The 11,822-nt window shown below is 44.0% G+C and overlaps 1 protein-coding gene across 4 annotated transcripts in view; it reads left to right on the top strand.

The window, feature by feature from the left end:
* Nucleotides 1-11,271, top strand: part of HEATR4 (HEAT repeat containing 4) — a 155,331-nt gene extending 144,060 nt beyond the window's left edge. For all 4 annotated transcript variants that reach the window (XM_047431370.1, NM_203309.2, NM_001220484.1 and 1 more), the window contains one exon: nt 10,913-11,271. In XM_047431370.1, the coding sequence (XP_047287326.1) occupies nt 10,913-11,149 (237 nt within the window). In that variant the 3' untranslated portion in view covers nt 11,150-11,271. The remainder of the gene's footprint in view (nt 1-10,912) is intronic.
* Nucleotides 11,272-11,822: the final 551 nt, after the last annotated feature.

Below are 11,822 nucleotides of genomic sequence, written 5' to 3'. Positions count from 1 at the left end.
TTTGTTTCTTTAGCTACAACTTCTTTGGCTCTTAAACTCAGGATCTTAAATCGGCTTCTAATTTAACAGGCAATGTGGTGGCATGCGGGTGTAATTTTTGAGAACGTGGTCACTGTCTGTCATGCAACTAATTGCTTTGTACATAAAGATTCCTTGTCTTCATTTGAATCATTTAAGATAAACTCCCAGAAATAAAAGTGCTGGGTCAAAAAGTAAGATACTTTTTGTGATTATTAATAGGTTTTACCAAACTGCCTTCCAAGAGGGTTTACAATGTTTCAAGCAATGATAAGCATATTAGACTACAGTACATGGCCTCTAGGACCTTTCTCTGTTTGAGCTTTCAACACTCCCTCTTTCTCAGTTGCAAGCCTATCCAAACACTTGCCAAGGCTTTTAGATTTTGTCCTTACCCATGTCTAACATCCACCCTTTTTTATTTCTCACATGGTCTGTTACACACACAGTTATCAACTGGGGGTGATATTGTCTCCATAGGGACATTTGGCAATGTCATATAGGGGGCTAGGGGTTGTCTAACATCTAGTAAACAGACACTAGAGACACTACTAAACATTCTACAATACTAAGGACAACCCTCCCACAACAAATAATTGTCTGATGCAAAATGTCAGTAGTGTAGTGTTGAGGCAGACAAATCCTGGTTTATTACAAATAGCCTCCCAACTAGTCTCTTTACCTTTATTTTTTATTTTTATTTTATTTTTTTGAGACAGGGTCTTGCTGTGTTACCCCAACCTCTGTGTTGCAATGGCCCAATCTTGGCTCACTGCAACCTCCACCTCCCAGGTTCAAGCGATTCTCCTGCCTCAGCCTCCCAGGTAGCTGGGATTACAGGCACCTGCTACCACCGAAGCTAATTTTTGTATTTTTAGTAGAGACAGGGTTTCACCATGTTGGTCAGGCTGGTCTCGAATTCCTGACCTCAGGTGATCCACCTATCTCGGCCTCCCAAAGTGCTGGGATTACAGGCATGAGCCGCGGTGCCCGACTGTCTCTTTACCATTAATTGCTCCTGTATTAGCCATTCTCACATTGCTATAAAGAACTACCTGAGACTGAGTAATTTATAAAGAAAAGAGGTTTAATTGGCTCACAGTTCCTCAGGCTGTAGAGGAAGCATGGTTGGGGAGGCCTAAAGAAACTTAAAATCATGGTGGAAGGTGAAGGGGAAGCAAGCTCATGCCTGTAATCCCAGCACTTCAGGAGGCCAAGGTGGGTGGATCATGAGGTCAGGAGATCAAGACCATCCTGGCTAGCACAGTGAAACCCCATCTCTACTAAAAATACAAAAAATTAGCCGGGCATAGTGGCACGCCCCTGTCATCCCAGCTACTCTGGAGGCTGAGGCAGGAGAATTGCATGAACCCGGGAAGTGGAGGTCGCAGTGAGTCAAGATCACGCTACTGCACTCCAGCCTGGGCGACACAGCGAGACTCCGTCTCAAACAAAAGCAACCAGATCTTGTGAGAACTCAACCACCATCATGAGAGCAGCAAGGGGGAAATCTGCCCCCATGATCTAATCACCTCCCACCAGGTCCCTCATCTAACATTGGAGATTACAATTCAACATGAGATTTGGGTGGGGACACAGAGCCAAACCTTATCAGCCCCCATGCCAATTTATACCACAGATAGCTACAAGATGAATTTTCTCAAGTTGAGGCCCCAAACCTGTCATCACCCTACTCAAAATCTACCTAGGTGCCCCATTGACAAATCCAAGTTCCTCAGCTAGGTACTGGAGTCACATAATGTTACAGCCTATCATCCCCAACCCCTGTAAACTCTACTTCTACAAGCTAGACTGTTTGCTGTTGCTTACCTATATCATCCTTTATATGTTTTCTCAGGCTGTTTCCTCTGCATATTGTCCCCCAATTATCTTTTGTCAAAACCCTAATTAAAGCCCATTTCACATTCCATCTCCTCTCCAAAGGCGCTACCATCTCCTTCATCTCAAGAGAATTTTGACTCTTTCACATGAATTTAACACATTGTGCTGGTAATTCATGTTCTTGTCACATTCCTTCCTAAAATTCAAGGAAAAGACTTCCTTATGCCTTTTTCTATCCCGTCTTGCATTTAGCACACTGCCCTGGGATTACAAGCATGAGCCACCATGCCCTGCTAAAAATATAGGCTTTGTTTGTTTGTTTGTTTTGAGATAGAGTCTTGCTCTGTCATCCAGGCTGGAGTGCAGTGGTGCTATCTTGGCCCACTACAACCTCTGCCTCCCAGATTCAAGCAATTTTCTCCTGCCTCAGCCTCCCGAGTAGCTGGGATTACAGGCACCCCCTACCATGCCCAACTAATTTTTGTATTTTTAGTAGAGATGGGGTTTCCCATGTTGGCCAGGCTGGTCTCAAACTCCTGACCTCAGGTGATCTGCCTGCCTCAGCCTCCCAAAGTGCTGGGATTACAGGCGCGAGCCACTGTGCCCAGCCAAAATATAGTATTTTTTAAACAATAAACTTTACTTTCCCTAATTCATCTCATTTTTCTTGATTTTTAAGCATTGCTTACCTTTCTCTTCTTTTTTTTTTTGTTTTGAATCAATAGAATTCCCTTTTAAAAAAATCAAAGGAAATTGACATTCTTTTTTTAATTATTATTATTATTATTTTTAGTACAGACGGGGTTTCACCATGTTAGCCAGGATGGTCTCCATCTCCTGACCTCATGATCTGCCCGCCTTGGCCTCCCAAAGTGCTGGGATTACAGGCGTGAGCCATCGCGCTGGGCCAGGAACTTGACATTCTGAATATAGATGCTAATCATTGTTATTCAGAGAAACTTCTACAGAAAAGAAGATGAATAGAGCCAACAGGATGTTTAAGTGTACATAGTATGATTTAAAGCCTATCAGGAAAGTACCCCAAATTATCTCTCCCATCAAAATTCATCCCATCATTAGATAGTTATTCTTGAATTAGTCATTGTCACTTTCACTTCATCTATATCTAAAGTGTAAATATACTGGGAAGGAAGGGTGATATATACTAAATTATAAGTTCCTTTCTTTTTTTTTTTCAAGACAGAGTCTCACTCTGTTGCCCAGGCTGGAGTGCAATGGCACGATCTCGGCTCACTGCAATCTCCGCCTCCTGGGTTCAAGCAATTCTCCTGTCTCCACCTCCCAAGTAGCTGGGATTACAGGCGCAGGCCACCACACCCGGCTAATTTTTGTATTTTCACTAGAGACGGGGTTTCGCCATGTTGGTCAAGCTGGTCTTGAACTCCTGGACTCAGGCAAGCCACCTGCCTCAGTCTCCCAAAGTGCTGGAATTACGGGCGTGAGCCACCACACCCAGCCTCATAAGTTCTTTTCTTTAAGAAGGAAGGATAGCATGAGTTGTTGAAAGGGAGATGGTGAGAAAGAGAAATAAAAGGAAAGTAAAAGAAAGCAAATGTCCGAGGCAGTGGTTCTGAACCTGGGGCTATTTTGCACCCCCAGGGGTCATTTAGCAATATCTAGAGATATTTTTGGTTGTCCAACAGTGGGGGTGCTACTAGCATTGAGGGATGCTGTAAAACATTCTACAATGTACAATGAAACCCCATAACCAAGGAGTATCTGGGCCCAAATGTCAATAGTACCAGGATTGAGAAACCCTGGTAAAAACTTTTAGATGACAATTCATCAATACAAAATTTTGATATCTTTGACCCAGTAGTAATTCTACATCTAGAAATCTATCCTTAAAAAATATTCACTGGCCAGGTGCAGTGGCTAACACCGATAATCCCAACACTTTGGTAGGCTGAGGCAGGTGGATTGCTTGAACTCAAGAGTTCCAGACCAGCCTGAGCAACATGGTGAGACGCTGTTGCTATGAAAAATCAGCATTTTTTTTTTTTTTGAGACAGAGTCTTGCTTTGTCACCTAGCCTGAAATGCAGTGGCGTGATCTTGGCTCACTGCAACCTCCACCTGCCAGGTTCAAGCGATTCTTGTGCCTCACCTGAGTAGCTTGGATTACAGGCATGTGCCACGATGCCCAACTAATTTTTGTATTTTTAGTTGAGATGGAGTTTTGCCATGTTGGCCAGGCTGGTCTTGAACTCCTTGCCCTAAGTGATCCAACTGCCTTGGCCTCCCAAAGTGCTGGGATTACAGGAATGAGCTGCCATGCCAAGCCGAAAAATTTTAAATACAAAAATTAGCCAGGCATGGTGATGTACACCTGTGGTCCCAGCTACTAGGGAGGCTAAGGTGGGAGGATGGCTTGAGCCTGGGATGCAGAGGTTGCAGTGAGCTGAGATGGCGCCACTGCACTCCAGCCTGGGCAATAGAGCCAAACCCTGTCTCGAAAAAAAAAAAAAAAATTCACCCATGTGTACAAAGATATTTACACATAGATGGTTGTTGCTTTTAATTTCAAAACTGGAAATTACTCAAATATCTACCAATCAATAGTTATTTAAAGGAATGACAAGGAAATGTCTATAACGTGTTAAAAAATCAAATTATAGAACAATATGTTGTCCCATTTTTTGCTTAAAAAATGCAGCCAATATACATTATATATAATTTTCTTTTCTTTTCTTTATTCTTTTTTCTTTTTTGAGACAGAGTTTCCCTCTGTCACCCAGGCTGGAGTGCAGTGGTGCAATCTCGGCTCACTGCATCCTCCACCTCCCAGGTTCAAGCGATTCTCCTGCTTCAGCCTCCCAAGTAGTTGGGATTACAGGCGCTTGCCACCATGCCCAGCCAATTTTTCTATTTTTAGTAGTGACAAGGTTTCACCATATTGGCTAAGCTGGTCTCAAACTGCTGACCTCAGGTGATCCACCTGCCTCAGCCTTCCAAAGTGCTGGGATTACAGGCATGAGCCTACATTATGTAAAATTTATTTAAAACCATATATGTGTGTGTGTGTGTGTGTGTGTGTGTGTCTGTGTGTGTGTGTGTGTGTGTCTGCCTGCATAGTTGAATATCTGGAAAGATATAAACCAAACTGAAGACAGAAAGAAGTTCCCTCTGGGCAATGGGATTATTTGTTATAGAAGAATTTTCATGTTTAACTTTAGGATGTTAATATAAAGTTTAGGCTGGGTGTGGTGGCTCATGCCTGTAATCCCAGCACTTTGGGAGGCTGAGGCGGGAGGATCACTTGGGGCCAGGAGTTCGAGACCAGCCTGGCCAACATAGTGAAACCCCGTCTCTACTAAAAAATACAAAAATTAGCCGGGTGTGGTGGCATGTGCCTATAATCCCAGCTACTCAGGTGGCTGAGGCACCAGAATTGCTTGAATGCGGGAGACAGAGGTTGCAGTGAGCCAGGATCGCGCCACTGCACTCCAGCCTGGGCAACAGGGCAAGACTCCCTCTCAATGACAAACAAACAAACAAACAAAAAACCACAGTTTGAATAGGCCATCTGGCCCCAAAAGCCTGAAATATCTACTATCTGGCCTTTTACAGAACAAATTGGCTGAGTCTTGCTATACGTCGTAACAGATGCTATCTAGGATGTTGAATTTCCAACTCTTTTGCTTGCTCATATAACCTATAAAATAATTTTGAAAAATGATGTCACCTCTTTACCTTCTTAAATTGACATCTAAAATGAGGCCAGGCATGATGGCTCACGCCTGCAATCCCAGCACTTTGGGAGGCAGAGGCAAGTGGATCACCTGAGGTCGGGAGTTTGAGACCAGCCTGGCCAACATGGTAAAACCCCGTCTCTACTGAAAATAAAGAAAAATTAGCCAGGTATGGTGGTGCATGCCTGTAATCCCAGCTACTCGGGAGGCTGAGACAGGATAATCGCTTGAACCTGAGAGGCGGAGGTTGCAGTGAGCCTGAGATTGAGCCACTGTACTACAGCCTGGGTGACAGAGATGAGACTCCGTCTCAAAAAAAAAAAATTGACATCTAAAATGTTTTCATTTTAAATAGAAGCAGAGTTTAATTTCAAACATGTAAGTATTCCAGCTTTACATATTGATATTTTAAGTTCAAAACTGAATTTAAATGCATCCATTTGAATCTAAATGCCATAACAGTTTGATAACTACCATCATCCATTTTAAAAATAAAATATGTAAGCTCTTCTTTAAAATTAAAATTACATCTTAAAAAAAAACGCTCACATTTCCTTTATGAAGTAACTTCCACACAGAATTTTATCCTAATATACAATTGTGCTTGAAAGTATTTATTTTTCATCATCACATCTGCAACAAAAATCTGTATTTAAATTGAGGGTTGGGGCATGATGGTACACGTAGTTTTAGCTACATGTGAGGCCAGAGACAGGAGGATCACTTGAGCCCAGGAGTTCAAGTTTATAGTGAGCTATGATCGTGCCTGTGAATAGGTACTAGCTCCTGCACTCTGGCAGCTGGGGCAACATAGTAAGACCAGGTCTCTAAAAAACAAACAAACAAATAAAAAACACCTGATGTAAAAAATGAAGGTTTTAAAATTTATTCTCCATGACTAGAAGACTGTCTATATTTCTTTCAGGTAATCATTACAATTATTATTAGTATACTTCATGTTCCAATTTTCCATACATAAATCAGAAATATTAACCCACACTCCCCTGGGAAACAATTTTATTAACTAGAGTACAGTGCTATGTGCAATTCCTGTTGTATTTAGTCTTATAGATTCCACACATTTCCGAAGTTTTTCCTACTCCCTTCACTGAAGTTGCTCTATACATTTGGTTCTCTTGCTACATGCAGTCCGTATTCCTTCCTAGATCCCCTTACTTCCTAAATGTTTTTGTTTTAATTTGCATACATTAACGTTTACTCTGGCTGGGTGGGGTGCCTCATGCCTGCAATCCCAGCACTTTGGGAGGCTGAGATGGGTGGATCACCTGAGGGCCAGGAGTTCCAGACCAGCCTGGCCAACATGGTGAAACCCCCATCTCTACTAAAAATACAAAAACTAACTGGGCATGGTGGTGTGTGCCTGTAATCTCAGCTACTTGGGTGGCTGAGGCATTTAAAAGAAGCTTGAATTTGGAAGGCGGAGGTTATGGTGAGCCGAGATTGCACCATTGCACTCCAGCCTGGGTGACAAGAGTGAAACTCTGTCTCAAAAAATAAGGTTCACTCTTCTTGCTGTAAAGTTCTACAGGTTTTAACAAATGAATAATGTCATGTAACCATCATATATTATACAGAATATTCAGAATAGTTTCACCACCTTAAAAAGTCTCCTGTGCTTCCCTTTTTTTGTTTGAGATGGAGTCTCGAAGTCTGGCTGTGTCGCCCAGACTGGAGTGCAGTGGCGCAGTCTCGGCCCATTGCAGCCTCCGCCTTCTGGGTTCAAGTAATTCTCCTGCCTCAGCCTCCTGAGTAGCTAGGATTACAATCGCCTGCCACCATGCCTGGTTAATTTTTGAATTTTTAGTAGAGACAGAGTTTCACCACATTGGCCAGGCTGGTCTTGAACTTCTGACCTCAGGTGATCTGCCCGCCTCAGGCTTCCAAAGTGCTGGGGTTACAGGTGTGAGCCACTGTGCCCGGCCTAATTTTTGTATTTTTAGTAGAGACTGGGTTTCACCATGTTGGCCAGGCTGGTCTCAAACTCTTGGCCTCAAGTCATCTGCCTGCGTGGGCCTCCTAAAGTGCTGGGATTACAGGCGTGAGCCAGTGTGCCCGGCCTGTGCTTCACTTATTCAACCCTCCTTTCCTCCCCACAAATACCTGTCAACCACTGATTTTTCTTTTTTCCTCTCCTTTTTTTGTTTTGTTTTTGTTTTTTATTTTGAGACAGGGTCTCCTCCTGTTGCCTAAGCTGGAGTTGCAGTGGTATGATCATGGCTCACTGCAGCCTCAACTGCCCCTGCTCAAGTGATCCTCCCACCTCAGCCTCCCGAGTAGCTGGACAACTACTGATGTTTTTATTTTTTTATTTTTTTTTGAGATGGAGTCTCGCTCTGTCACCCAGGCTGGAGTGCAGTGGCACGATCTTGGCTCACTGCAAGCTCCGCCTCCCAGGTTCACGCCATTCTCCTGCCTCAGCCTCCCGAGTAGCTGGGACTACAGGTGCCCGCCACCATGCCCGGCTAATTTTTTTTTTGTATTTTTAGTAGAGACGGGGTTTCACCTTGTTAGCCAGGATGGTCTCGATCTCCTGACCTCGTGATCCGCCCGCGTCGGCCTCCCAAAGTGCTTGGGATTACAGGCATGAGCCACCATGCCCGGCCTTTTTTTACTATCTCTATAGCTTTGTCTTTTACACAATGTCATATAATTGGAATTATACAGTATGTTGCCTTTTCCGGCTGCCTTCTTTCACCTAGCAATACATATCTTTTTTTTTCTTTGAGACACAGTCTCACTTTGTTGCCCAGGTTGAAGTGCAGTGGCACCATCTCACCTCACTGCAATATCTCACTCCCGGGTTCAAGTGATTCTCGTGCCTCAGCCTCCCAAGTAGCTGGGATTACAGGCGTGCACCGCCACCCCCCGCTAATTTTTGTATTTTTAGTAAAGATGGGGTTTCACCATGTTGGCCAAGCTGGTCTCAAACTCCTGACCTCAAGTGATCTGCCTGCCTCGGCCTCCCAAATTGCTGGGATTACAGGCGTCAGCCAACCTCCTGGCAGCAATACACATTTGAAGAGGTTCATGTCTCTACTAAAATAATTAACTCTACTAGTTCTGTCTCTACTAAAATAATTAAAATAATGCATGTCTTTTTCTGGCTTCACAGCTCATTTCTTTCTTTCTTTCTTTCTTTTTTTTTTGAGATGGAGTCTTGCTCTGCTGCCCAGGCTGGAGTGCAGTGGTGTGTTCTCGGCTCACTGCAACCTCTGACCCCCGGGTTCAATCGATTCTTCTGCCTCAGCCTCCTAAGTAGTGGAAATACAGGCACATGCCACCACGCCCAGGTAATTTTTGTATTTTTACAAGAGACAGGGTTTCACCATGTTAGTCAGGCTGGTCTCGAACTCCTGACCTTGTGATCCGCCTGCCTTGGCCTCCCAAAGTGCTGAGATTACAAGTATGAGCCACCGCGCCAGGCATCGTTTCTTTTTACCTCTGAATACTCTTCCATTGTGTAGGTGCACCAGTTTGTTCATTCACTTCTTGAAAGACATCTTGGTTGCTTCTAGTTTTGGGTGATTATAATAAAGCTTCTACAAACATTCATGTACAGGTCAGACTTACTTTGTATCATGACTTCATTTTTTATTTCACATACAATATTCAAAAAACATAATAAAATATTAAAAATAAATATAACAAATATAAGAATAAATCTTGAAAATTAAAATTAAAATAATATGGTCCATTATAATTGATTAATCTTTTTTTATTTTGAGACAAAGTCTCTCTCTGTCGCCCAGGCTAGAGTACAGTGGCGCAATCTTGGCTCACTGCAACCTCTGCCTCCTGGTTCAAGCGATTCTTCTGCCTCAGCCTCCCGAGTAGCTGAGATTACAGGCATCTGCGCCATGCCTGGCTAATTTTTGTATTTTTAGTAGAGATGGGGTTTCACCATGTTGGCCAGGCTGGTCTTGAACTCCCGACCTCAAGTGAGCTGCCTGCCTTGGCCTCCCAAAGTGCTGGGATCACAGGTGTGAGCCACCGTGCCCAGCCAATTATTCATTTTTTAAGAAATGAAAAACAAGATAAATAATACATTGGTTTTATTACTTAACTAGTAATAACGCCATATAATGTATAGCTGAAATTATAACTTATTAGTGAAGTAAAGAATATTATAAGAGATATTGTGTTCCTTCTACAAATGTGTGAGTGAACATATATCGAACTCTGGTGTTAGGCTTTTATTTTTATTTTTTAATGGGCAGCTTTTCAAGCCAGAGTAGGCTGAGAGAGACTACCCTGGTGTTAGGCTTTTGAGATTAATTAAAGAATAATCTCTGGGCATGGTGGCTCACGCCTGTAATCTCAGCACTTTGGGAGGCTGAGGCAGGCAGATCATGAGGTCAGGAGTTCAAGACCAGCCTGGCCAACATGGTGAAACCCTGTCTCTACTAAAAATACAAAAAAATTAGCTGGGCGTGGCCGGGAGCGGAGGCTCATGCCTGTAATCCCAGCACTTTGGGAGGCCGAGGCCGGCGGATCACCTGAGTTCGAGACCAGCCTGGCCAACATGGAGAAACGCTGTCTCTACTAAAAATACAAAATTAGTAGGGTGTGGTGGCGCATGCCTGTAATCCCAGCTACTTGGGAGGCTGAGGCAGGAGAATCCCTTGAACTCTGGGGGCAGAGGTTGCGGTGAGCCGAGATCGCACCATTGCACCCCAGCCTGGGCAACAAGAGCGAAACTCCGTCTCAAAAAAAAAAAAAAAAGAAAGAAAGAAAGAAAGAAAAAAAAACGCCGGGCGCAGTGGCTGACACCGTAATCCCAGCACTTTGGGAGGCCGAGGCGGGCTGGTCACAAGGTCAGGAGATTGAGACCCTCCTGGCTAACACGGTGAAACCTCGTCTCTACTAAAAATACAAAAAATTAGCTGGGCGTGGTGGTGGGCGCCTGTAGTCCCAGCTACTCGGGAGGCTGAGGCAGGAGAATGGCGTGAACCCGGGAGGCGGAGCTGGCAGTGAGCCGAGATGGCGCCACTGCACTCCAGCCTGGGAGAGAGTGTGAGACTCCGTCTCAAAAAAAACAAACAAACAAACAAAAAAATTAGCTGGGCGTGGTGGCGGGCGCCTGTAATCCCAGCTGCTTCAGAGGCTGAGGCAAGAGAATCACTTGAACCCGGGAGTCGGAGATTGCAGTAAGCCGAGATTGCGCCACTGAACTCCAGCCTGGGCGACAGAGTGGGACTCCGTCTCAAAAAGAAAAAAAAAAAGGAGACACCCTATAGCCAAAGAGGCCTTCACTTGGGCTCTGCCGCTCACATGAGACACGTTTGGCATATGCACTCATGTTTTCATGTTTCTCTGCAGCCTGTGAAGCCCCGCGCACCAAATCCCTGGTTACAAAGTTCAGTCCCAGGCCTAACCACACGAAGCAAAGTTCGTTCATCACTTGTCAAAGATCTACGCACCTCCCCCGAGAAAAGGATTGCTGTGGGACCATTTAGATCCGACTACCCAGCTCTTTATCTGGGTAAATTCTCAGAGAGAACATTTTTTTCTCCCATCATGTCTTCTCCCTCTGGAAAGAAAGGTGCTCATCTCTAAGCTGAACACTTGTCTTACTTCAAGATGCAGGAAGCAGTGGACCTGGTCACATTGGGTCTTTTTAATTGATACTGTACAATCTTGTTGTCACTATGTTTATAAAGAGAAATTATTTAACAGTAGACCTCATGTCTTAATGCGCACTATTTACATGGAAGGTTAAAGAAAATTGACATCACATTAGATGACAGAGCATATTTTTCCACGCCCCAGAAAGGTCATGTACTAAATATGGGTCAGAGTTCCAAATCTTTCTAAAGCAGTAATATTGAAGGATCCAGCATCTTTTCCAAACGGTACAAATTGCCCTCTGAAACTCAAATTAGGGCTGGGCACTGTGGCTTATGCCTATAATCCCAGCACTTTGAGAGGCCAAGGTGGGTGAATCACATGAGGCCAGGAGTTTGAAACCATCCTGGCTAACATGGTGAAACCTCGTCTCTACTAAAAATACAAAAAAATTAGCTGAGTGTGGTGGCACACACCTGTAATCCCAGCTACTAGGTGGGCTGAGGCAGGAGAATAGCTTGAACCCAGGGGGCAGAGTTTGCAGTGAGCCGAGATTGCGCCACAGCATTCCAGCCTGGATGACAGAATGAGACTGTCTCAAAAAATAATAAAATAAAATAAAACCCAAACTAGAATCCCATTTGTCTAGGAAAGAAACAGCTTA

The sequence above is a fragment of the Homo sapiens genome, chromosome 14, assembly GCF_000001405.40.
Source record: "Homo sapiens chromosome 14, GRCh38.p14 Primary Assembly".
NCBI lineage: Eukaryota > Metazoa > Chordata > Mammalia > Primates > Hominidae > Homo > Homo sapiens.
Note: the sequence above shows the minus strand (reverse complement) of the source record. Positions and strands in the feature narration are given on the sequence as shown.